General features: G+C 40.1%; 1 protein-coding gene across 9 annotated transcripts in view, besides 1 other annotated feature; it reads left to right on the top strand.

Moving 5' to 3' along the window:
- Positions 1 to 26618, top strand: part of AHCTF1 (AT-hook containing transcription factor 1) — a 92851-nt gene that overhangs the window by 532 nt on the left and 65701 nt on the right. For 5 of the 9 annotated variants that reach the window (XM_011544157.4, XM_011544156.3, NM_001410950.1 and 2 more), the window contains exons 1-6: positions 59 to 288; positions 13040 to 13167; positions 15022 to 15275; positions 18005 to 18185; positions 23659 to 23866; positions 25760 to 25876. In XM_011544157.4, the coding sequence (XP_011542459.3) occupies positions 191 to 288; positions 13040 to 13167; positions 15022 to 15275; positions 18005 to 18185; positions 23659 to 23866; positions 25760 to 25876 (986 nt within the window). In that variant the 5' untranslated portion in view covers positions 59 to 190. Of the gene's footprint in view, positions 1 to 58; positions 289 to 13039; positions 13168 to 15021; positions 15276 to 18004; positions 18186 to 23658; positions 23867 to 25759; positions 25877 to 26618 lie in introns of those variants that run through there. The other 4 variants (NR_136586.2, NM_001323343.2, NM_001323342.2 and 1 more) reach the window with 2 other exon arrangements.
- Positions 257 to 346: an enhancer, noted in NCBI's record as "active region_2862". NCBI's record gives its function as "activates an Ori minimal core promoter by ATAC-STARR-seq in GM12878 lymphoblastoid cells {active_cell/tissue: GM12878}" and the evidence as "EXISTENCE:reporter gene assay evidence [ECO:0000049][PMID:35858748]".

Here is a 26618-nt window from a genome sequence, read left to right as displayed (position 1 = left end):
GAGGGGGCGAGCGGTGGCGGTGGCGGGTACGGCAGGCTCGCGGGCGCCGGGCTTCGTTACATAATCTCGGACCGGAGGAGCGGCGGCACATGGCGGCGGAGCGGCGCTGGTGGTTCGCGTCCTGCGCCGGCAGTCGGGTCCCTTTACGGACGGCCGGGGCCGCGACCCTTTCCCACTGTTCTCCCACGCGATGGACTCGTTGGCGGGCCTTTCCCCGAGGGAAGCGGCCGGCGTGCTGAGCCTGTCCTGTGTTGGCGTGTGTTCCACATGCGCTTGGGCCTGGCCACAGTGAGTAGTCCTGGCGGGGAAGAAGTTGGACTCGGGGCTCAGCCGTGAGGTTCCAGCTCACCCGATTGGTCAGATCAAGGAGATTTAAAATAAAAGCACATCTTGGGGTGCTTTGCCTTCCTTTTTCCTACCTGGGAAACAGGACGGTTTCTTTTGCCACTGGTTGACTGTTTTGGTTTGGGTGTTTTGTTTTGAGAGATGGGGAAATTTTGTTCTCAAAGCTTACGAGGTTCATACTATCTGTGTGCAAAGTTTTATGAGATGAGCGTTATTTTTATTTCCAAATCGTCAGTTGTAGAAATTTTTGGAAGAACTGGGTTCTTCATAGAACAAAACGTAAATCCTTTGGGGAAATCCTAAACGATATTTATTCTCAGAATATCCTAAAGAACCTGTAGATTTTAAGAACTGTCTTTGGCTGGGCGCAGTGGCTCCTGTCTGTAATCCCAGCACTTTGAGAGGCTGAGGCGGGAGGATCGCTTGAACCCAGGAGTTTGAGACCAGCCTGAGCAACATGGCGAGACCCCCCCTTTTTTTTTTTTAAACTGTTTTTTTGTGAGCTTTCACTGATAGAGTCTCTTAGGAGAGAAGAAATTAGAGTGGTTTACTTATTTCGGAGGATTTGACCTGGGATGACAAGCCCAGTTAAGGTTAATACTTGAAGGGATGTTTTAAGTGTGCCAAGCGCTATGGGAAGTCTACGTTGTCTCTGTACTGTGATTTTTGGATCCTGATCCTTCAGTAACATACTACCAAGCTGTCACGAGTTTGCAAACAACAATAATTATCTTGAAAAAATTTTTAAAACATCATGTCAACCGGGAATTGGTGGCGCCTCTAGTCGCGCGCCTACTTGGGAGGCTGAGGCGGGGGGAACGTTTGAGCTTCAGCCTCAAACTGAGAGTTCGAGGGTTGCAGTGAGCTAGGATCGCGCCGCTGCACTCAGCCTGTGTGACAGAGCGAGAACCTGTTGCTAAAATAAAATAAAAAAGATCGTTATACATCAGTTTTGAGACTTTTGTTTTCTTTTTATGCTTCTCCTTTTTCATAGGTACAGATACATCTTTTTTTTTTTTTGAGACGGGGTCTTGCTCTGTTGCCCAGGCTGGAGTGCAGTGGCACAATCTTGGCTCACTGCAACCTCCGTCTCCCAGGTTCAAGCGATTCTCCTGCCTCAGCCTCCTGAGTAGCTGGGATTACAGGCGCACGCCACCACACCCGGCTAATTTTTGTATTTTTAGTAGAGACGGGGTTTCACCATATTGGCCAGGCTGGTCTTGAACTTCTGACCTCGTGATCCGCCCGCCTTGGCCTCCCAGAGTGCTGGGATTACAGGCGTGAGCCACCGCGCCCGGCTGGTACAGATATATTTTAAGAGGAAGCAAAACGTTGTGTCTTTCACGCCTACCTTTAATATTTTCAGGGACTTTTCTTTCTTCCCAGAATGAAGTGTAACTTCCCTCGGTTAGCTCAAAGGTCTCTACAATAAGTATATGCTACTGTCTATCCTCATATGTTAACAAATTTTATGCTTTTGCTATTCCAGAATCGTCATCAATCCTGGACTCATTCTGTGGAAGAGATGTTTCCACTCTGATGTTTCTTTGCTCATGTCCTTCATCCTGGAGTGCCATCTTTCCTTTTTTAAATACTCAAATTTCAGGTCCTCCTTCTAAATCCAATGTTTTCACTGTATTTTTATTTTTATTTTTATTTTTTTGAGACGGAGTCTCACTTTGTAGCCCAAGCTAGAGTGCAATGGCGTGATCTTGGCTCACTGCAACCTTCGCCTCCAGGGCTCAAGCGATTCTTGTGCCTCAGCCTCCCGAGTAGCTGGGACTACAGGAACGCGCCGCCACACTCGGCTAATTTTTTGTATTTTAGTAGAGACGGGGTTTCACCATGTTGCCCAGGGTGATCTCGAACTCCTGAGCTCAGACGATCTGCCCACCTCGGCCAACCAAAGTGCTGGGATTACAGGCGTGAACCACCGCACCCAGCCCACTGTACTCTTTTATTTCCCCTTATCCCACTTTTTTACTGGGATCTCACAGCATATGTACCTCTATTGTAGTAGCATTTATTCTTTGTGTCTGATACTCTGATAATTGACTATATATCTCCTTTTCTAGATTGTAAACTCCTTAAAGTCAGGAAGAAGGTTATCTTCTTGACCTTGCATTCCTTTACTAACACGGTGTTTTAAAAGTAGTTTGTGATTTTAAAATGTTTGAATTAAGTTGGTAAGAAATTTCTGAAAGGCTTGAAGTTTCTGGGTCCACTGGTAGTTTACATTTAAATGACAATTCGTCTTTTTATTAGTCAAAAAGAAAAAAAGTACCATTGCATACAAAGTGGTTTATAGAAATGTTTGCTTGGTACATGTTGCAATATAATTGTTGAACTAGATTAGAGTTCCATTTTCTGTGGTGGAATTCAGTTACTGCAGGAATTTGTGTATTTCACACAGAAAACTGATTTATAGTATTCTGTTTTTAGTATCTGGCCTAGTAATTTTAAGAATTTTGTTTTGTTTAATACTGAACCAGTGTATACTTAAAAATAATTGGGCCCAATCTTGAGTTTTAAAAAATTGATTTTATTGTTTAACATGCCTATTTCTTGTCTCTGCTAGTATCCTAATAATATCCTGCTATACAGTATCCTGTTATCCTAATTTATTACATTTAGGACCTGTTAGTCCAAAGGCACTGTGACCTTGTCGAATGCCCAGGAATAAGATTTGGTGATTTTTGCCTTTTAGGAATTCATAGTGTAGTGGAGAAGACAGGCAAGCAGAAGTAATTTTTTTTTTTTTTTTTTTTTGAGACGGAGTCTCGCTCTGTCGCCCAGGCTACAGTGCAGTGGCGCGATGTCGGCTCACTGCCAGGTCCGCCTCCCGGGTTCATGCCATTCTCCTGCCTCAGCCTCCCCAGTAGCTGGGACTACAGGTGCCCACCACCACGCCCGGCTAATTTTTTTTGTATTTTTAGTAGAGATGGGGTTTCACCGTGTTAGCCAGGATGGTCTCGATCTCCTGACCTCGTGATCCACCTGCCTTGGGATTACAGGCGTGAGCCACCGCACCCGGCCGAACAGTATTTAATTTAATTAATTAATTAATTTTTTGGTGGCGGAGTCTTGCTCTGTCGCCAGGCTGGAGTGCAGTGGCGTGATCTTGGCTTATTGCAACCTCTGCCTCCCAGGTTCAAGCGATTCTCCTGCCTCAGCCTCCCAAGTAGCTGGGACTACAGCGCGCTACCGCGCCCAGCTAATTTTTGTATTTTTAGTAGAGACAGGGTTTCACCATGTTGGCCAGGATGGTCTGGGTCTCTTGACCTTGTGATCCGCCAGCCTCGGCCTCCCAAAGTACTGGGATTACAGGCTTGAGCTACCGCGCCCGGCCATGAACAGTATCTTCATTCAAAGCCAGTAGAACGTTCCTGCTCTGCCTATCTAGCCTTTGGAAAGGAATTGAAACTTAGTAAATTACTTTTTATAGGTTGCCAGTGCTGGCATGTCATAAAAGGCTGGGATTCTGTTTAATTTTGTACAGTACTGAACGTAGGTGTTTCATGTGTGTTTGTGTTTTCATATACCTTTATATGAGATATTCTTTCTAATAATATAGTTTTTCTTTTTGAGACAGTCAGGCTGTGTTGCTGAGGCTGGAGTGTAGTGGCACCATCTCAGCTCACAGCTACCTCCACCTCCCCGGTTCAAGCGATTCCCATGCCTCAGCTTCCCAAGTAGTCGGGATGACAAGCGTATGCAGCCGTGGCTGGCTGCTACATTTCTTGTTTTTAGTAGAGACGGGGTTTCACCATGTTGGCCAGACTGGTCTCTAACCAACTCCTGACCTCAGCCATTCTCCCGCCTTGGCCTCCCAAAGTGCTGAGATGACAGGTGTGAGCCACAGTGCCTGGCCTATTTCTTTCTTTTTTTTTTTTTGAGACAGAGTCTCGCTCTGTCGCCCAGGCTGGAGTGCAGTGGCACGATCTTGGCTCACTGCAAGCTCCGCCTCCCGGGTTCACGCCATTCTCCCTCCTCAGCCTCCCGGGTACCTGGGACTACAGGTTCCCGTCACCACGCCCTGCTAATTTTGTTTCTGTATTTTTAGTAGAGACGGGATTTCACCTTGTTAGCCAGGATGGTCTCGATCTCCTGACCTCGTGATCCGCCCGCCTTAGCCTCCCAAAGTGCTGGGATTACAGGCGTGTGCCACCGCGGCCCGGCCATACACTTTTGTTTGTTTTGAGACTTGTTTGTTTTGAAACGGGGTTTCGCTCTTGTTGCCCAGGCTGGAGTGCAATGGTGCAGTGTCGGCTGACTGCAATCTCCGCCTCCCGGGTTCAAGTGATTCTCCTGCCTCAGCCTCCCAAAGTAGCTGGGATTATAGGCATGCGCCACCACACCTGGTTAGTTTTCTGTATTTAGTAGAGACGGGATTTCACCCTGTTAGTGAGGCTGGTCTTGAACTCCTGACCTCAGGTGATCCACCCACCTCAGCTTTCCGAAGTGCTGGGATGACAGGTGTGAGCCACCGCGCCTGGCCCCTATTTCTAATAATAGAGTGTTTCGATGTTCTCTGTAGTGTGCTTAAATTGGAAAAGTCTTAAAACCAATTTTGCCCTATAGATTCAAAGGCTGTTAAATTTGAAAAACTTTATTAAACATTTTTTTGAACTCCTTTGTGCTAGGCACCATGATGAAGTCTGGAGAAATAAGTACTCCTCTTTTCTAGAAGCTTGGATATGAAAGGGAGGAAGACAGAATATAGTAAAGCACAATGTTACATGTATTATTAAGTGCTAGAACCTGGATTCAAAGTTTGAATTAGAAATACGTTAGCCTGTGTTGCTATAAAGGAATATGTGAAACTGGATAATTTATGAAGAAAAGAGGTTTATTTTGCCTCATGGTTCTGCAGGCTGTGCAGGCATGACACCAGCAGCTGCCTACCTTCTGGTGAGGGTGTCAGGAAGCTTCCAATCATGTCAGAAGGCAAAGGGAGAGCAGGATACTCACATGATGAGAGTGGGGAGTGAGGAGGTACCAGGCCTTTTTTTTTTTTTTTTTTTTAAAGACAGGGTCTCACTGTCGCCTAGGCTAGAATTCATTGGTGCAGTTATGGCTCACTGCAACCTTGACCTCCCAGGCTCAAGCAATCCCAGTAGCTGGGACTACAGGCAGGCGCCACCACACCTGGCTAATTATTTTTCGTAGAGATGAGATTTCGCCATGTGGCCCAGGCTGGTGTCAAATTCCTGGGCTCAGTCAGTCTGCCTGCCTCAGCCTCCCAAAGTGCTGGGAGCCACCATGCCTGGCTTTAAACAGCCAGATCTCATGTGAATTCATTACTGTGGAGAGGACACCAACCCATTCATGAGGGGTCCTCTCCCATGACCCAGACACCTCCTACCAGGCCCCACCTCCAACACTGGGGATCACATTTCAGTATGAGATTGGGAGGGGACAGTTATACAAACCACATTAGGTTTATTTTTTATATTTTTAGAAACAGGATCTTGCCCAGGCTGGAGTGCAGTGGCCTGATCATAGCTTACTGCAACCTACAACTCCTGGTCTTAAGAGATCCTTCCGCCTGAGCTTCCCAGAGTGCTGGGTGTACAGGCATAAGCCATCATGTCTGGCCACAGTTTAAATACTGTGGCTTTATTCTCTTAGAGCTAGTACTTCTATATCATCTTTGTTTTGCATTCAAACAACATAACAAAACTCACCCAGCCTAAGAAATAGAACATTTACTATATTTCATTTTCCAAAAAATGCTTTTTGTGTGTTATCCTTTGGACTTTGGATTTTGTGAAAATCTTTCCAAAATTGTATTGAGATGATTTTGATTGAAGTATAGGGATCATGGAACTTTTTTGCTCATTATCCATTAGCACTCTTCTGAATACACTTTGTAAAAAGCTACTGCATGGAATTCTGAAGGTTTTGGTTCTGGTTGACTTACTTTGGTTTTAAGTTTAGTAGGAAAAATGTGTTAACTTCAGTTCATCATTAAACTAGTTTTATCAAGCTATATAAAAGGCTGTCAGAGGGGAAAACAACATAGTAACAATGTGATTCTGGCCTTTTCCATCTGTTTCTCTAAAAATTTTTTTGGTACTAAGCTACTTAGGAGATGAATAGGGTCCATTTGTGTATATAAGAGCAACTAAGGCTTGAGTATAGGACCCTCATGAGGGTTTTGTATTGGAGGCTAATGGTCATAGCTTCCTATTGATGCACACCTTTATATTAGGTTAGACTTTTGGATCTGTTTTGGATAATAAAAAGCAAACTTCTACTTTTGATGACTTGGAAATCTCAAACATAACTTTTTAGGTTTTGTGACTTAATGGTGACATATGTGATTAAGTTTTTGAGGCAGTCCATCAAGTTTTTGTCTAGGAGATAGCATTTATAGCCTGAACAGAAAATGATAACTCATATATTTTAATTTTTTGAGTGAATCTTTGAAATGTTTTTTTCACATAAATTTTTTTGGGGGAGGGGACTAAGATGTGGAGAGAATAAGAATGACAAGAAAGAACGTTAGGTTGATTTTTGCCTTGTTCCCATCCTAAGGCTACATAAATATGTACTGTATTTTTAAAGTTGCATTTTTATTTTATATATATATGTTTTAAAATTCTTTAATTATTGATTTTATAAGAAATCCAAGCCATACTGAAATGAGCAAATCACAAATTTGCATCACACAAAAATAAACGGCACTAATGTTTTGTGAATATTTCAGATATCTCTGTTTAAAGATAAACAGATGGAAGAATTCATAGAGATTATTGTATGAAATGCTAATTTTTAGAAATAGTTAATTTCATAAGAAAACTGAAAGGAATTGTTAAATTTATAGTAGTTCTTTTAATGTAAATATTTCTTTATAAATTTTTTAAAGTTAAACACATCTGTTAGAAGTGGCTGTTATCCTGTTATTTTACCACAGGTTTCAGTTTGATAGTATTGATTCTCTTCTGTGAGAATGGCTTGGGCTGGGTGTTGGAACTGAATGTAGTCCTTTCTGTACTCAATAGATAGGAGGGGGAGTGCTGAGAAACGGTAATGACTTGTACCTCGGATCTCTCTTTTGCCAGATTTATATTCTACGCCTTTGGGCCTTCACCTTTCTCCCAAAACAGCAGCACAGTTCCCTGAAACATGGCCCTCTTCTCAGGTCCTGTGGCATAGTATGTAGTTAGGGACTTCCAGACCTGGAGTTTTCCTGGGGTTATCTATTTCCCCCTTCATTTCACTTCACCCCACACACACTGAAGGATGTTAGAATTCTCTGGATTTTGTGAACTCACCTTCTTTCTTCTGTACCTGCTCCTGTGTGCTACGCGCACACACACACACACGCATGCACGCACACATTTCATTTGCTAGATACTAGGGGAGGAATGTAAAGCAATGTGTCACTTCCACCACTTCACTCTAGCCGTGTGTAATGTCTTTGCTGCAGATGAGTAGCACATTATACCAGAAATGTTGATTGAAGAGTCCACATGTCTGCTCTGAATTGAAATATCCAAATAGCTTTTTACCATCTGCTGAACTTAGTGATTCTGTGTCTAGATTATTTTATCTGTTTTGTTGACCTGTTTGTCCATTACTAGCCTATATCACATTGTTTCAGTTATTATAATTATTTTATGTATTTATTTATGTATTTATTTATTTATTTTTGGGACAGAGTCTTGCTGTCACCTAGGCTGGAGTGCAGTGGCACAATTTTGGCCCACTGCAACCCTTGACTCCTAGGTTCAAGCAGTTCTCATGCCTCAGCCTCCTGAGTAGCTGGGATTACAGACGCATGTCACCATGCCCAGCTAATTTTTGTATTTTTAGTAAAGATGGGGTTTCATCATGTTAGTCAGGCTGGTCTCAAACTCCTGACCTCAGGTGATCTGCCCACCTCGGCCTCCCAAAGTGCTGGGATTACAGGCATGGGCCACCGTGCCCAGCCTATCTTTTTTTTTTTTTTTTTTTTGGTATTATTTGATTAAATAACTTCTTCTTCATTCTCCTTTGGTTGTATTTAGTATTTGGCTATTAAGAATACTATTGATAGGCTATTAAGAATACTATTGATACTTTTTTTTTTTTTTTTTTTTTTGAGACAGAGTCTCGCTCTGTCGCCCAGGCTAGAGTGCAGTGGTGCAATCTCGGCTCACTGCAAACTCCGCCTCCTGGGTTCATGCCATTCTCCTGCCTCAGCCTCCCGAGTAGCTGGGACTACAGGCGCCTGCCACCACGCCCGGCTATTTTTTTTGTATTTTTAGTAGAGACAGGGTTTCACCGTGTTATCCAGGATGGTCTCGATCTCCTGACCTCGTGATCCGCCCTCCTTGGCCTCCCAAAGTGCTGGGATTACAGGCGTGAGCCACTGCGCCCAGCCTATTGATACTATTGATAGGTGTCTCACACCTGTAATCCCAGCACTTTGGGAGGCCGAGGCAGGAGGATTGCTGGAACCCAGGAGTTCAAGACCATCATGGGCAACATAGTGAGACCTTATTTCTACTAAAAAAAAAAAATTAGCCAGGCATGGTGGCACGAGACGAGAGATTGCTAGAGCCCAGGAGATTGAGGCTGCATTGAGCTCTGATAATGCCACTGCACTCCAGCCTGGGTGACAGAGTGAGACCCTGTCAAAAAAAAAAAACAACCCAAAAAACCGCAACAGAATACTGTTGATATACAGTGTGCCTTCTTGCACGTGTCTTTTCCCTTTTATTTGAGACAGAGTCTTGCTCTGTCACCCGCGCTGGAGTGCAGTGGTGCAATCTCTGCTTACTGCAACCTCTGCCTCCTGGGTTCAAGCAATTCTCCTTTCTCAGCCTCCTGAGTAGCTGGGACTACGGGCACATACTGCCATGCCCGACTGATTTTTGTATTTTTAGTAGAGATGGGGTTTCACCATACTGGTTGGGCTGATCTTGAATTCATGACCTCAGGTGATCCACCTGCCTAGGCCTTCCAAAGTGCTGGGATTACAGGCGTGAGCCACTGTGCCCAGCCCTGTATATGTTTTCAACATGGATATGTAACAAAGTCTAAAATATACCAATGTATCTTTATTCTCTCAGGCAGTAAGAAGACTCTGTATGGTTTATTTAAACTCCACACAGCCATTATTATTGTTGTGTAGTCAGTGTTTAGATTTTTTTCTGTGTATATACCAGTACTTTGACATCATCATTCTTGCTGCCTCTCAGACCTTCTATCTGATCTCTATTCTACCTGAAGCCTTCTTGAATCCTTTAACATTTCCTTTAAGCAAACTTTTTTGTCTAAAAACATATTTCGTATTTGTTAAGGATCCTTTCAGTAATATATAATTATGTTGGCAGTTACTTTTGGTTAGACTTCTGAAGATATTCCAGAATTGCGGTTTCTACTACTGTTGTTGAGTCATTTCTCTTTTTTGGTAGTTCCTAGGATTCATTGGACTTCCTGACTCAGGGAATCGGTGTGTCTGTAAATCTGGGAAATATATTGCTTCTTCCTATTAGTACTATATTTTTGGGGGGATTCTGATTAGGCATATCTTAGATCTTCCTTATCTATAATTTAAAACTACTCATCCCTTTGTGCTGCATTCTGAATAAATTTTGGGGGCTTTCTAGTTTACTTTTTTACTTATCCTTTGAGTTTGTTTTTGTTGAGTATTAAGTAGGTACAAAATAATTTATTTGGTGAGTGGGTGCAAAAGAATATAAGCTAGAGAAGATCACGGTGCAGTGAATACCTGTGTACTCAGCACCAAGTTCTAGAGAAAGAACATTACCACTACTTCAGAGTCCCTCGTATATTCTTCCGCTTTCTCTCTCAAATCCACTGTGCATTCTGTGTTTATTTTTTCTTTGTTTTTTTCATAGTTTTGTCATGTTTGCATCCTTAAGCAATATTTTGCTTAGTTCTGCGTGTCTTTTTAACCTTATATAAATGTCATTTTGCGTGTATTTTCTGCTGCTTTTATTTTTATTATTATTATTTATTTATTGTGTCAGAGTTTCACTCTTGTTGCCCAGGCTGGAGTGCAATGCCGTGGTCTTGGTTCACTGCAACCTCCTTCTCCCAGGTTCAAGCGATTCTCCTGCCTCAGCCTCCTGAGTAGCTGAGATTACAGGCATGCGCCACCATGGCCAGCTGATTTTTTTTTTGGTATTATTAGTAGAGATGTGGATTCACCATGTTGGCCAGGCTAGTCTTGAACTCCAGACCTCAGGTGATCCACCTGCCTTGGCCTCCCACAGTGCTGGGATTATAGGCGTGAGGCACCGTGCCTGGATGCTTTTATTGTTTAATAATTTTTTTTTTTTTTTTGAGACAGTGTTTTGCTCTGTCACCCAGGCTGGAGTGCAGTGGTGCGATCTCGGCTCACTGCAAGCTCCGCCTCCCAGGTTCATGCCATTCTCCTGCCTCAGCCTCCCGAGTAGCTGGAACTACAGGCGCCCGCCACCACGCTCGGCTAATTTTTTGTATTTTTAGTAGAGACAGGGTTTCACCTTGTTAGCCAGGATGGTCTCGATCTCCTGACCTCATGATTCGCCGCCTCAGCCTCCCAAAGTGCTGGGGTTACAGGCGTGAGCCACCACGCCCGGCTGGTTTAATAATATATTCTGACATTCATTCATATTGTTGCATGTAGCTGTGATTCACTCTCATTGCTCCATTGAATTTTTATACCCATTGAGTTTTAGTTTTTATTTAATTTTTCATTTTTAGAAATTTTTTCAAATCTACTTGATTTTTCCTTTAACATTTACAGTTTCTTATCAAGCTAAATCGCTGATTTACACAAATATATTAGACATTTACTTTCTAATCTCTGGTAATTTCAATATCTGAAGTCCTCAGTCATCTGATTCTGCTGGCTATTGGATATCCTTGTGTGTTTTGTTATTTGGACTGTGAGCTTCTTTTCTTTTTTTTTTTTTTTTTTTTTTTTTTGCGGGGGACAGAGTCTCACTGTGTCGTCAGGCTGGAGTGCAGTTGCACAATCTCGGCTCACTGCAACTGCCTCCTGGGTTCAAGCAATTCTCCTGCCTCAGCCTCCTGAGTAGCTGGAATTACAAGCGTATGCCTCCACGCCCGGCTAATTTATTTTTGTATTTTTAGTAGAGACAGGTTTTCACCATGTTGTCCAGGATGGTCTCGATCTCTTGAGCTCATGATCCTCCTGCCTTGGCCTCCCAAAGTGGTGTTACAGGCATGAGCCACCCTGCCTGGCTCTGTGAGTTTATTTTCTTTGTTGCTTTAACTTTGAGAATTCTTTAAGAATTCTTTGAGATTCCAGAGGATATGTGGTTGTTTCCGTGGATTGCTTGGAGCAACGAACCTGAAAATAACTTGATAATAAATTCTTCTCTTGAGGATTTTTTTTTTTTTTGAGATGGAGTCTTGCTCTGTCACCGAGGCTAGAGTGCAGTGAGGCTCACTGCAACCTCCACCTCCTGGGTTCAAGTGATTCTCCTGCTTCAGCCTCCCGAGTAGGTGAGACTACAGGTGTGTGCCACCATGCCTGGCTAATTTTTTGTATTTTTAGTAGAGACGGGTTTTCACCATATTAGCCAGGATGGTGTTGATCTCCTAACCTTGTGATCCGCCTGCCTCAGCCTCCCAAAGTGCTGGGATTACAGGCGTGAGCCACCACGCCCGGCCTCTTGAGGATTTCCATATAACCTAGCTTGAATTCTGGCCACACATTTGTATGAAAGAAAATGTTGTCTTTCTGAGTAAGAGACTCAGAGCCATGGTCAATGTGGACAGCTTTATTGTACCCATCCTGTACAATGGGTATTGTTCTTGCTCACCTTTAGGCTGATGTAGCCTAGTGGAGTTTAATGGGGTTGAGGGATGAGCTTATTAGTTCTCTTTGTCCTAGGCTTAATCTTTTGCCCCTGGATCTTAGAGTGCCCAGAATAAGATCAGGGTTCCCAGGACTGGATTTCATAGCTAACCAACTCAGATGGCTAAAATCTTTCTGTATTTTAACTAGTATTTTTGGTTGTTTATAATGGGAGTAGTCATTCTGGGAATCTGATCTTCTAAATGAAAGACAACTTTATGCCTATATTATTTCTATCCTGCAAAAGATATGTACCAAACTTGATTTCTGGGGTTTCTGTGAATTTATACATTTTTCTTGGACTTTCTCCCCCTTTACTGAAGAAGTGATTTTTCTAAAAGACACCAATCACTTTTTCTTTTTTCTGTAGGGAGGATGGTGGTGGTGAGGTGTTCTTTGCAAGGAGGTTAGACAATGAGATGAATTGCACTGAACTAGTGTTTAAAGAATCTAGGGAATAATGTATATCCTTAGTACGTCTGGCTTAATGAATGTTTACTTTCCTAAAGCTGTTTGGGAAATACTTTCTTAGGAGACAGTAGAATACCTTGGTCCCAGATGCATGTCATTTGTTTTTAAGACTGGATTTTGCTCTGTCGCCCATGCTGGAGTGAAGTGGCACAATCATAGCTCACTGGAGGCGCAGCCTCGAACTTCTGGGATCAGTTCATCCGCCTGCCTCAGCCTCCCAAGTAGCTGGGACTTAAAGGCGTGAGCCTCCGCATCTGGCCAATATGTATTTTGTAACCAGATTTTAGTTTTTCTTTATTTTGTTGGTGGCTTTTACTGTTTTTCCTGGCTGGACATAATCAAGTATATTGTCTACAAATGTGTCATAATAATGTTTTCTTTTAAAAATATTTACAGTGGAAGTATGCGAGACTTAAGAGCTCAAGTGACTAGTGGTCTCCTGCCATTTCCAGAAGTGACTCTTCAAGCCCTTGGAGAAGACGAAATAACATTAGAATCTGTGCTTCGTGGAAAGTTTGCTGCAGGTAAACATAATGTCACTGAACATTTACTAATACAATTGATTTGTAAGATAAATAATAATAAGTATATATTATAGTTTCTTTATGTGGAAGAAGAAAAAGCAGAACCTGAGTGATCTTAAATATGTAACATCTACAGTTACATATATAACATCTATAAGCTCTTAAACATGTTATCAGTGAACCTCTGATTGGGGGGGTTATAGTTAATTTTTCCTTATTAAAAATCTCATGTGTTTTGTATCTTAGTATTATCTATGTTTGGGAAGTAGAAGTAACATGCAACTAGTTTTTCCTTATAATTAGGAAGTTTTATTGGTGATGAGTTTGGATTAGAACCTGAACAGTGTCATGAGTAGAAAAGTCCAGGGCCCTAGATGTTATAAAATTTTCAGAAAATCTCGTTTTCTGATTTCATTTACCTGAATAAGATCTTAATGTGTAACTTAGATTGTGTAATACATCAGAGAACCATACTAAAGAAGGCTTTCTCTTATGGATCTTGTTCTAATGAAAGATATTGCAGAAGACTTTTCTGAATATAAGCTTCGTAGCCATCTTCCCAGCAGGCAGAGAGCAAAACATATGTATCAGTCATTTCTCTCTTGACAGCGCCATTCTCTTGAATGTTAAAAGGAACAACAGTACTTTCTATATGCCAGGCATTGTACGATGACTTCATTGGAGTGGTGTAAAACTTTTTTCTAAGTAGCCACTATTCTGTGTAACTGAGAATGAAATCATTTATTTGATCCCAGTTATACAGGTAAGTGGCAGAAAGGATCTTGGAACCTTGGCGTTCTCAGACCCCACTGTACCATGCTACTTTCTTAAACTGTGGCCTCCCTTAGCTATAAACTTACATATCCAACTAATGTACTTGGATGCTTGATGGACATCTCAAATTTAGAAGTTACCATTCATCTGGTTGCTCAAGCAGAAATTCGGAGTCTGTACTTGATTCTTGTTTTACTCACCTCCCTGTGTCTCATTCATCAGCAAGGAAATCCAATTAGTTCTCCCTCTAAGTTGAATCTCCAGTCAACCCACTTTTCTCTATTCGGTCACCTAGCAGGTGTCGTCTTCCACCCAGTGCGGCTACTCTGTGCTTCTCCTTGTCCATTCTTTGCTTAGCAGCTGGAGTAACATTTAAAAACATGCATAAATCAGATAGTTACTGACTTGATTTAAATCAGATAGTCACCTCTATGACTTTACATTGCAGGCAGGGTAAAATCCAAACATGACTAATAGGCGGAGAAGAGGTTCTGAGACTTCCTATCATTATGCTAGTTATGTCTTAATTTCTTAATTGGACTGTGAACTCTTTAGGGATAGAATAATATGTTCTATTTTATAACTGCCATAACTTCTAGTTTAAATCGTTTAAGCCTTAGTAGTTAAAGCATGAGTTTTGGAGTTAAACAGGCTTGGGATCTACTTCTGCCTGTGCTACTTTTTGACTTTGGGAAGGTTAAACAGTATTCAGGTTTAGCTGCCTTATCTCTACATTGAGGTGTGATAAGGAATAAATGAGATAACATTCAAGCACATACCATGGTGGTGGCTTTTACTGAATGACTATTATTATTATTATTTGAGATGAAGTCTTGCTCTGTCACGCAGGCTGGAGTGCAGTGGCATGATCTCGGCTTACTCCAAGCTCCACCTCCCAGGTTCACGCCACTGAATGACTATTATTATTGTAATGATAGTTGCTTGATTAAAAGATTTCAATGTGGAGATAATATGTAAAGTTTTATGTAATGAACATATAGTTGTATGTAAATGAGCTAACCGTTATTGCATGTTTTGTGTATATACAATATTAAAATAGGCAATTTTTTTTTCTTCTAGGGAAAAATGGACTTGCTTGCTTGGCTTGTGGTCCACAACTTGAGGTAGTAAACTCTATAACAGGAGAGCGATTGTCTGCTTACAGATTCAGTGGAGTCAATGAACAGCCTCCTGTAGTTTTAGCTGTGAAAGAATTCTCTTGGCAGAAGAGAACTGGATTATTAATAGGATTGGAAGAAACAGAAGGGAGTGTTCTCTGTCTTTATGACCTTGGAATATCAAAAGTAGTTAAAGCAGTTGTTCTTCCTGGAAGGGTAGGTACTGTTTAAGATACCTGGACATTTCTCTTTCAAAACTGAACCCCTGCTGGTTATATAGGTGTGTTACTTTTTGAAATTTCACTGACCCGCAACATTTACAATTTGTATACTTTTATGTAAATGTGTTACTCTTAGGTAAAGTGTTTAGAATAAAAATGAGGTTAAAGATGATATGTTATTCAAGGAACTTAACATTTAAAATGTAACTTTCTTATTGGTTAAAACGTTCCAGAGTAAAAATAGCAATGACATGTAATGTTCTGATACTCTTTTTTTGTGAAAAGTATCATCTAAATCTTGTTCTTATCTCCAGTTGTGTTCTATGAGGACACTCGAAGTTTATAAAAATGTATTCATTACTATTCAATTTTTAAAATGTTTTTACCTTTTAAATTTGCGACAATAGTCTTGGATTGGAGCATTATGGAAAATATATGTTAGATTCCCAGGATGAATAAATTGAACTTGGTCTGTGCTTTTAGAGAGCTTATAGTCTAGTGGGAGAAGACAAATGAATAAGACTAGCATAAATATAGTGAATACTTTAATAAATTTAAGCACTTGGAACATGTAGAATGGGTAATTTCTAGTCAAAAGAGTTGGACATTTTAGATAAAGAGACTAGCATGGAAAAATAGTAGTACAGGGAGCATTTGGGAAACTAGACTTGATTTAGAATGGCTGAGGGAGGGATGAGGGGAAGGAAGAATAGGGGGCCAGAAACGTTAGGTTTTAGATTGTGAATGGCCTTATTTGTAATGAGGGGCTCCTTTGAAATCAACGGTGAAGTAATTTTTTTTTTTGTTTTTGAGACAGAGTCGCTCTGTCAGCAGGCTGGAGTGCAGTGGCACGATCTCAGCTCACTGCAACCTCTGTGTCCCGGGTTCAACCGATTCTCCTGCCTTAGCCTCCTGAGTAGCTGGGACTACAGGCGTGCACCACCACGCCCAGCTAATTTTTGTATTTTTAGTAGAGATGGGGTTTCACCCTGTTGGCCAGGCTGCTCTCGATCTCTTGACCTCGTGATCCACCTGCCTTAGCCTCCCAAAGTGCTGGGATTACAGGCATGAGCCACCACGCCCGGCCAGTGGTGAAGTAATTTTAAGTAGAACTCTCATGTAAAAGGCTTGCTTGGATTGGGTCAGCGAGGATATTGTGAGAATAGAAACAAGTAGACTATTGCCATTCAGGTAAATAATGATGAGGAGCTGAACCAAGGAAATGACAGTAGAAATGGAGAAGATGGGGCAGATTCAGAACACATACAGAAGGAAACATGGACACTCATTGATCATTTGGATGAGGAATTGAGAAGAAACAAGGTTCCTGAACTGGTTGCTCAGTTGAATGCATGGTTGGTGTATGGAAGAGAGAATATAGAATAAGGAAAAGATGGGGGAGTAGCGATAGACACTTTCAAAAGTTCAACCTACTAGCTGTTTTTTGGGTAGGGTGCAGTATACACTCATTATGTTTATTTTTGTCTTCTAAAATTAAGGTAATAGTATTAATCACTTCATATAGTATTTTTATGAGGAATGTAAACTTAGATTCGCTACTCCTCACTGAGGAATTGAATATGCTTTAGTATTTATAGACATTATTACAGTAATTAGAAAAGAAAAAGTGATGAAGTTACAGCTTTCAGAATTAGAAACACTGAGTAATGTTTTGTATACTGATATAGAGAAAGAGCCAGGCTTTTGTCTGTAGTAAGTTACAGCCTGAAACAACTTTTAGTCTTTTTAACACATGAATCATTGATATCAGATATTTTCTTTTCTTGCCAGAACATTCATCAGTACAGGTTGAGAATCCCCTGTCCAAAATGCCTGGGACTAGAAGTGTTTTAGATTTTGGACTTTTGGATTTGGATGTTCAACCTGTATTAGCGTAGAAATCACCAAACATTTTATCATATATCATACCTAATTAATTTTTATGAATTAATAGGAAACTGAAGGAAAGACAAGTATAAAATATGGATGACTAGTTATAGACATTTAAAATTTGACTCATGAGATGAAGGGGAAAAATATGACTCCATAAAATAGCTAAAGTATACTTTTCTTTAAATAATAGCAATTCTTGTTAAGTGTCAGTGATCCAGTGACTGCCAGAGCTTTATATGAAGTCCAATAGAAAGAAGGTTAGACCTCTTCAGTCTTTAAGGTATAAAGAGGACTTAAAATATCTTTTTTGTTGTTTTTTAAAGAGTAAACAGTAAATTTTTCTGGAATGATTAGTTTTTACTCTTAGGAGAAGAGGCCATAGAATCCTAGAGTAGCTGTTTAAGAGCTTTAAAATGAGAACAATTTAGGTTTGCGTTTTATGCGTAATGATTTTATGGCTTGAATAACTAGACTGACTTTCTAAGCCTCAGGTTATTTCATCTTTAAAGAGAAGTACTCACACATAGTCTACTATCAAAGCATTGTCATGAACATTGAATGAGCCAGGTAACACAATGCCTGGCGTATCAGTAAGCTCTCAGTCAACATCAATTGTTAGTCCAACTGCGTGATTTTTCTATGTATTGAGTAATGGTGTAATTCCTAGTATAGCTGAAGATTTCATTATTCAGATCACAAGTATCAAATGCAAATTTACTCTATAGTCTTAAATCTATTATAACTGATAACCTGCTTTAACTTAAATTTATTGTGTTAATTATATTTTCTTACTTTGCAGAAGAAAAGCAAATCACGTATTATGTTTTCTAGGTAACAGCTATTGAACCTATAATTAATCATGGAGGAGCCAGTGCAAGCACTCAGCATTTACATCCAAGTCTGCGATGGCTTTTTGGAGTGGCAGCTGTGGTCACTGATGTTGGACAGATCCTTCTTGTTGACCTATGTTTGGATGACTTGTCATGCAATCAAAATGAAGTTGAAGCATCAGGTAATCAGTTCTTTACTTGAAACCAAAAATGGAGCACCTGGATATTCTGATGCAATATTTTTTAAAGTAGCCAAATTTTTTTATAGCAGCTGGAGTAAAATAAAAGATATCTTCCTATCTATAAAAAAAAAAAAGGTATTTTAAAATCTTTTTTATTGTCTGGACCTGAGCACAGTGGATACTTCTTGCATAAGATACTGTTTTGTTGATCAGGTGTTCATATGTTCTCAAGTAGGCCTTGAGAAAGGTAGTGATAATTGATTTTATTTGTTTTCATTTACATACCTGAATAAGATCTATTCTTAAGTAAATGCTGGAATAAGGGCTAAATATAAGAAATCTTGAGCCTTATCAGCCAATATGAAATTACCCAGCAATGTAGGATCTAACATAGTGTTCTTGGCATATTGTTTATGTTTGTGTGGTAACACCAAGATAGAAATAAAATATTAGGAAATAACAGTAACTAAAAGTCTTTCTCACAAAATAACATCCTAAAATAGAAGTAATTCTATTCAGATTCAAAGAAAATGAAATACTTTTTCTCCTTTAAATGCTTGTATTTATAAAATTACTTTTTTCCAAGTGCTTTCAGTTTTTGAAAATTGTGAGTCTCTGGTTTATGAAGAAAGGAAGAGCTAACCTTAAAATGTGTTTTTTACTCTTAATTTTTAGAAAAGGAGTATTTGACCCGAAAAAATTTTGACTTTGGCTTTGTGAGGACGTTCTTGGTTTTGTTTTTTTTTTTTGGAGACGGCGTCTCGCTCTGTTGCCAGGCTGGAGTGCAGTGGCGTAATCCCTGCTCACTGCAACCTCCGCCTCCCGTGTTCAAGCAATTCTCCTGCCTCAGCCTCCTGAGTAGCTGAGATTACAGGCACACGCCACCATGCCTGGCTAATTTTTGTATTTTTTTTTTTTTAGTAGAGATGGGGTTTCACCATATTGGCCAGGATGGTCTCGATCTCTTGACCTTGTGATCCGCCCGCCTTGGCCTCCCAAGTGCTGGGATTACAGGTGTGAGCCACCACACCCGGCACATTCTTGATTTTTAAAGCAAGCCTAGAATATCAGTGTAGCTCTTTTCATTTATGGAGCAGCTCAGAAATAGATACAAACTATCAACATTTTATGTAGTTTATAATGAACATAACTAATAAAAATTGTCAGTGTATAAAAAAACCGATTAAAACTGCCAGTGGTGGAAGCGGGAGGGGAGGCTGCAGTGAACCGAGATCACGCCACTGCACTCCAGCCTGGGCGACAGAGCAAGAATCCATCTCAAAGAAAACAAAAACAAAAAAACTGCAAGTGATAAAAACTATACTTAACAAGAAATGGAAGAGCCAAAATCATCTGAACAAAACTTAAATATGCAAAATCAGACCTGAAAAAATTTGATTTGGCAGAAATAATGGTCATACATGCACTTTAAAATATCTTAATAGAAGAGCTGGGCGCCGTGGCTCATGCCTGGAATCCCAGCACTTTGGGAGGCCAAGGCGGGTGGATCACTTGAGGTCGGGAGTTTGAGACCAGCCTGACCAACATGGAGAAACCCCGTCTCTACTAAAAAATATAAAATTAGCCAGGTGTGGTGGCGCATGCCTCTAATCCCAGCTACTCAGGAGGCTGAGGCAGGAGAATCACTTGAACCTGGGAGGTGGAGGCTGCAGTGAGCCGAGATTGCGCCATTGCATTCCAGCCTGGGCAACAAGAGTGAAACTCCATCTCAAAAAAAAAAAAAAAAAAAAAGAATCTTCATAGATAGACACTATACCTTAAAATTTGGTATGTATACAAACCTGATTGATTAATAAAATTTTTATGTGAAGTTTAAATGAAAAGAATTGATGAGCAAAAGCAATAACTAAAAATGAATTTATAGATTATCAGAAATAGTTTGACTGCTTTTTATGGAACATTAATCAAAGAAGTAGGCTTGATAGGCTTTTGTTTCATAGTGTATTTTGTGGTTATAGGTGTAAGGCTAATTAAAATGCTTATATTCGTAATTAAAACTCCCTTCAAGTCAATATGGTGGCGTTAAAACATCCTTCATTTCAGAGGTCAGTAATCAGTAGGTGCACAAGGATAATTTTATAACGAAAGTCTCTGGATTGTGATCAGAACCATTTCTCAATTTTGAGAATTGGAAGCAGTTGGACTTTATAGCACAAAAAATTAAGCTTTAGGGTTTAATGCAAAATAAATTTTATTGATTACAAAAGTAATTTATGATTACAACTGTTTAGGCTTCACTGAAATACACCAAGGTAGGAAATGAAGTTCCAAACATACAGCATAAATATTGTTCTGCAGCTTCCCCAGACTTAACCGGTTTCTTATACATCTTTCCACATCAGAACACATAGGGCTTACCCATTTCTTTTGAGTAAATTTGTAGTATCCCATTGTGTGAACTGTTTGTTGTGGCAAAATCTAATCTCTTCTCTGAAAAAGACATCAGAAGCAGAAGTGATTTGGGGGTGGGGGCCCTGTTCTAGGACAGTGTGATATGATTTTTCCCCCTTTATAACAATGAGAGAATCTGCTCTTGCACAGTGGTTATATTAATATATGAGTCTGAGTTTTTAAATTTTTTTATTGAAGATTTCAGACATCTTCAGATAGTTAGAAGAATACAAGAGTTCCCATAAACCCATCACCCAAATTCAAGTTAATTTTCAACATTTGCTATATGTGTGTCTGTTTAGTTCATTCCCCTTTCCTCCTTTCCCTCTTTTCTTCTGTGTTAGTTTAAAGCAAATAGGGATATTTTATTACATAATCATAATGCCAATAACACTTCTTTGGTATAGTGTGTTATCTAGACTATAATCAAATTGATGTGATTATCCAAAGCATCTTTTTACATTTGGATTGTTTGGATTGGAATTCAAATACAGTCTGCACATTAATTGCATTTGACAGTTAAGTCTCAAGTCTCCTTGAACGTACAGCAATCCTCTTTCTGTCCTCTCTGTTTTTATTTTTAGTGCCATTGACTTGCTGAAGTTATCTGATAGAATGTTCCACATTTTGGAATTAACTGTGCTTTCATGTGGTATCATTTTCGATTTTCTGCAAATTAAATTAGCTCTGGTTATAGATGAAGGTTTAGTATTTTGGCAAGGTAGTTTGGAAGTGCTGAGTACTTCATATTGTATCACATCAGGAGACACATAGTGTCTAGTAGTTTCAATTAGTGATCAGTGGATTCACATGGTGACAGCATGATCCTTCCTTTTTAAAGTCTGTCATCAACTTTAAACTAGTGGTTCTCAGCAGGGGGTGAATTTTGTCCTCCAGGAGATGTTTGGCAATGTTAGAAGACATTTTTGATTGTTACTGCTGGTGCTACTTGCTACTAGTAGTTAGAGACTAATGATGTGGCTTAGCGTCCTACAGTGTACAGGATAGCCCTCTGCAGGGTAGTTCCCCCTTATCTGCGAGGGATACATTCCAAGAACCCCAGTGGATGCCGAAACCACAGCTAGTACTGAACCCTGCACACATTATGATTTTTCCTTATTAAATCAAGAACTTTGACCTCTTCATTTAAAGGAAGCACTTTACAGCTTCTCTTTGGCATATCTGAATTGCCAGCATGACCACTCTTGTGCTTTGAGGCTGTTAAGTCAAATAAGGGTTACTTGAACACAAGCACTGCAATACTGCGACAGTTGATCTGAGAACCAAGATGGCTACTAAGGGTGGCTTATACAGTGTGGATACACTGGACAAAGGTATGATTTATGTCCCTTTGATGGTAGCAGATTTCATCATACCACTCAGAGCAGCATGCAAATTTTTTTTTTTTTTTTTTTTTTTTTTTTTGAGAGGCTGGAGTGCAGTGGCGCAATCTCGGCTCACTGCAACCTCTGCCTCCTGGGTTCAGGTGATTCTTCTGCCTCAGCCTCCCAAGTAGCTGGGACTACAGTTGCACACCACCATGTGCGGCCAATTTTTTTTTTTTTTTTTTTTAGTAGAGCCGAGGTTTCACCATATTGGTCAGGCTGGTCTTGAACTCCTGACTTCATGATCTGCCTGCCTCAGCCTCCCAAAGTGCTGGGATTACAGGCATGAGCCACCTCACCTGGCTGAATTTTATATATATATAAATAGATAGATAGATAGATAGATAGATAGATATAGATATATATAGATATAGAATTATCTGTTTAATATTTTTGGACTTTGGTTTACTACAGGTAACGGAAATTGGAGAGTGAAACTGTAAATAATGAGAGGGAATACTGTAATGCCAAAATTATAAAACCTTACTTTGAGCTAATTGTTTCATTCATTAAGATTCTTTTTTTTTTTTTTCTTTTGAGACGGAGTCTTGCTCTGTCACCCAGGCTGGGGTGCAGTGGCTCAATCTTGGCTCACGGCAAGCTCTGCCTCCCGGATTCACACCATTCTCCTCCTGCCTCAGCCTCCCCAGCAGCTGGGACTACAGGCGCACGCCGCCATGCCCGGCTAATTTTTTTTTTTTTTTTTTTTTTAGTAGAGACTGGGTTTCACCGTGTTAGCCAGGATGGTCTCAATCTCCTGACCTTGTGATCCGCCCACCTTGGCCTTCCAAAGTGCTGAGATTACAGGCGTGAGCCACCGTGCCCGGCCTAAGATTCTTGGATAAGTCCCTTATTTCATTAAGGGCTGCAAAATGATGATTTTTATGTTCTGTCAATGTAAAGAATAATTTTCTCATTAATTAGGGCTTTCTGGTCACTCTGAAACACAATGTCTACAGAACAGGCAGGATAAATGTTTAGTGTTTCTTAAGTACTAATTTTCAGAGTAAGCAGGTGATACCTAGTTACTCCAATTGTTCAATATAAGGTCTTTTGTAGGTGGGGAGGGTAGGCTTCCCCCTTGCCCCACCCCTCTTTTTTTTTTTTTTTTGTATCCCTGTGAATTTTTCAGGTTTGGCATATTTAATGTGTTTCATTAATTTTATTGTTTTTGATGCCCAAAATGTCCTGTCATTGGTAATGAGAGCCCCTTCATGTTGTCTGATACATTCCCTTTCATCTGTGATAGCTTCCTAGATTATTGGCATAAGATGTACCAGGCTCATTTTATGTATTTTCTTCCCCCTGACCCGGAATCAGCCATTGCTCCAAGGAAGGTATTTAGGTAGTAGTTCTAAATTTCAATAAAGAAATAAATCAGTTTTATTTATGGTTGTTAACCCTAAAAAAATTCTATCTTAGATAATATTTGAGATGTACTGAGAGAATTTTTAAATATTATATAATTGAATGTGTTTTTTAAATTGTGGCATTTAAATAGATAAGGATGGCAATTTTCTAGTTTAACATACTTTTTTGTTATCACTAATCTTTTAATTTCAATTAACTTCATTTAACTCAGTTGACTTCATTTGCAGCTTGAATAATGGATGACATATTTGCTTTTAATGCTGTTTCTAGTTTTTTAACTTCATTTGTCTAATTTGTGGTTTTAGATCTTGAAGTTCTAACTGGTATCCCAGCTGAAGTACCACACATTAGAGAAAGTGTAATGAGACAAGGGCGCCATCTGTGTTTCCAGTTAGTAAGTCCAACAGGAACAGCTGTTTCAACTCTTAGTTACATAAGCAGGACAAATCAGCTTGCTGTAGGTTTTTCTGATGGCTATCTAGCACTTTGGAACATGAAAAGCATGAAAAGAGAGTAAGTATAACTTTTTTCCCTTATTTGATTATAGGTAGTTTTTTTGCATATAGCTTGTACTCATTTACTAATATTTGAAAGTTAGCATAGTGAGAAAAGGGTGGGTAGATTAATGATTGAATGAATGATTGAGATGACTAATTTTTCATGGCATTAAATCAATGTGAATACCATAAAGGAGTGACTTAGCACATGAATTTAGCTTTATTTTTTTTCAGTGTTTATTTAAAAGGCATTACAGTCATGTGTTTAACATGCTAGTAAAGCATGACTTTGTAACTTTACAACGTTTTGGTCAACAACAGTCCTTATGTAAGAAAGGGGTCTCATAAAATTTTACTGTATTTTGATTGTACCTTTTTAATGTTTAAGATACCATTGTGTTATAGTTGCCTGCAGTATTCCATACAGTAACATGCTGTACAGGTTAGTAGACTAAGAGCAACAGGCTATACCATCTAGCCTAGGTATATAGTAGGCTATCTCATCTAGGTTTGTGTTACTAGACTGTATGATGTTTGCACAATGACTGAATCCCTGACGAGCATTTCTCAGAACAGATCCCCTTTTGTTAAGTGACACATGGCTGTGTTTGTATAATATGAGTTCTTTCAGAAGTACCTTCCTAATCATCATCTGTGTAAAGTAACAGCTTAATAAAGAATTCTCAGTTGAGAGGGAAAAAAAAGGATTTTTAAAAATCAAAGTTACAAAATACTTGTGTTTTAAATTTTTTCTGCTGTCAAAAAGTCCCCAAAATATAATTATATTGATACTTTGTAGCTAAGTTAATTTGTGTTAAGCGTTAAATAGATGCCTATTTGGCCCTTAAGTTGTCAATTTATTTGTTTCTCCATTTTTCCTGAGGCATACTGGTATATTTTATTGAGTAATTTATCTTATAGGAAGTGTATCTCAACTCTCTTTGCTGTTATCCTTTTATCAGCTCTTTTTTTTCTATTTTTTTGGGGGGTGGGGTCTCACTCTGTTGCCCAGGCTGGAGTGCAGTGGCACGATCTTGGCTCACTGCAACCTCCACTTCCCAAGTTCAAGTGATTCTCCTGCCTCAGCCTCCCAAGTAGCTGGGATTACATGTGTGCACCACTGAACCCAGCTAGTTTTTGTATTTTTTTTTTTTAGAGACGGATTTTCACCTTGTTGGTCAGACTGGTCTCGAACTCCTGACCTTGTGATCCACCTGCCTCAGTCTCCCAAAGTGCTGGGATTACAGGTGTGAGCTACCACGCCCGGCTGCCAGTTTGTCAGCTCGTCTTTGAATTTGCTCCTAAAGAAATACCTGCAGTACCTGGCTTCTACAGCAGTGCTTTCTCTAACACTATCATCTCTTGGTCAATTTTTGCTTTTTTAGCAGTTTATGGGAACTCTTCAGTTTCTAACTCATCTTCTGTTGTAGTAGTGGGGAAACTGATGCTAAACCCAAACAGCTGAAAAGTCTCGTGGCAGTATCTCGTCTCTTTGTAGGGCATCTTTTATGGTTGAGCAGTATGTAGGAGTGTACATCAAATATGACTCTTAGGACCAGTTTACACAGACATGAATGCATCCACTTGAGTAATTCTAACACTCCCCAGTTCTACCTCTTGGGCATTGAATATGACTCTTAGGACCAGTTACACGCACACATAAATGCATCCGCTTGACTGCATCTGAGTCTTCCCAGTTCTGTCTCTGGGGGATGGGTGCCATGACCATAGTCTTGATGTCTTGTGCCGTGTGTATTTTTGCAGATAAGATGACTTGGCCATGGCCCACAGATCACTTATTCTGGGGAAGTGTAGGAACAGTGGTTGCCTAACCCAAGTTCTTACATGATGTACCTTTTTCCTTTCTAAAAAATAACTTAAAAATATGAAATATACTAATTTGTTTCAGATATTACATACAATTGGAAAGTGGACAAGTTCCTGTATATGCTGTCACTTTTCAAGAACCTGAGAATGATCCTCGGAATTGCTGTTACTTGTGGGCTGTTCAGTCTACACAAGATAGGTAGGTCTCATACAAACTTTGTTTTGTTTTGTTTTGTTTTTTTGGAGACAGAGTCTCGCTCTGTTGTCCAGGCTGGAGTGCAGTGGCGTGATTTCGGCTCACTGCAACCTCCGCCTCCCGGATTCATGCCATTCTCTCGCTCAGCCTCCCGAGTAGCTGGGACTACAGGTGCCTGTCACCATGCCTGGCTAATTTTTATATTTTCAGTAGAGACGGGGTTTCACCATGTTGGCCAGGCTGGTCTTGAACTCCTGACCTCATGATCTGCCCGCCTCAGCCTCCCAAAGTGCTGGGATTACAGGTGTGAGTCACCACGACTGGCCTGATACATACAATCTTTAAAAATTAGTCAAAAATAGAACAGGTAGTCTATGTAGTTATGTAGTCTTTTTTAGTGAAGGCAACACAATTCTTTCAGTGAATTAGTGAGTAGTAGTTGAAATTATTTTAAAAGTTAAATGGTTGTTTCTACATGCTTGAATAATTCTGAGTTATCAGAAGAAATTGTGCGGACTTACTTGAATGTTTTTCACAGATTGAGAGCCTTGGAACCTTCTAAGTACCCTGCTCTCTTGTTCTCAATCTCAGTACCCTGCTCTCTTATTCTTCAAATATACTTGGAGATTGAGAACAAGAGAGCTGGGTGGGTACTCAGCAAAGGACTAAGGAGTGAATAGTGTGGTATGAGGAATATTAGGAAGGTGTGGTGTGTTAGAAGCCAAGTAAAAGAAATAAGAACTAG

Source organism: Homo sapiens, chromosome 1 (assembly GCF_000001405.40).
Source record: "Homo sapiens chromosome 1, GRCh38.p14 Primary Assembly".
Lineage (NCBI taxonomy): Eukaryota > Metazoa > Chordata > Mammalia > Primates > Hominidae > Homo > Homo sapiens.
Note: the sequence above shows the minus strand (reverse complement) of the source record. Positions and strands in the feature narration are given on the sequence as shown.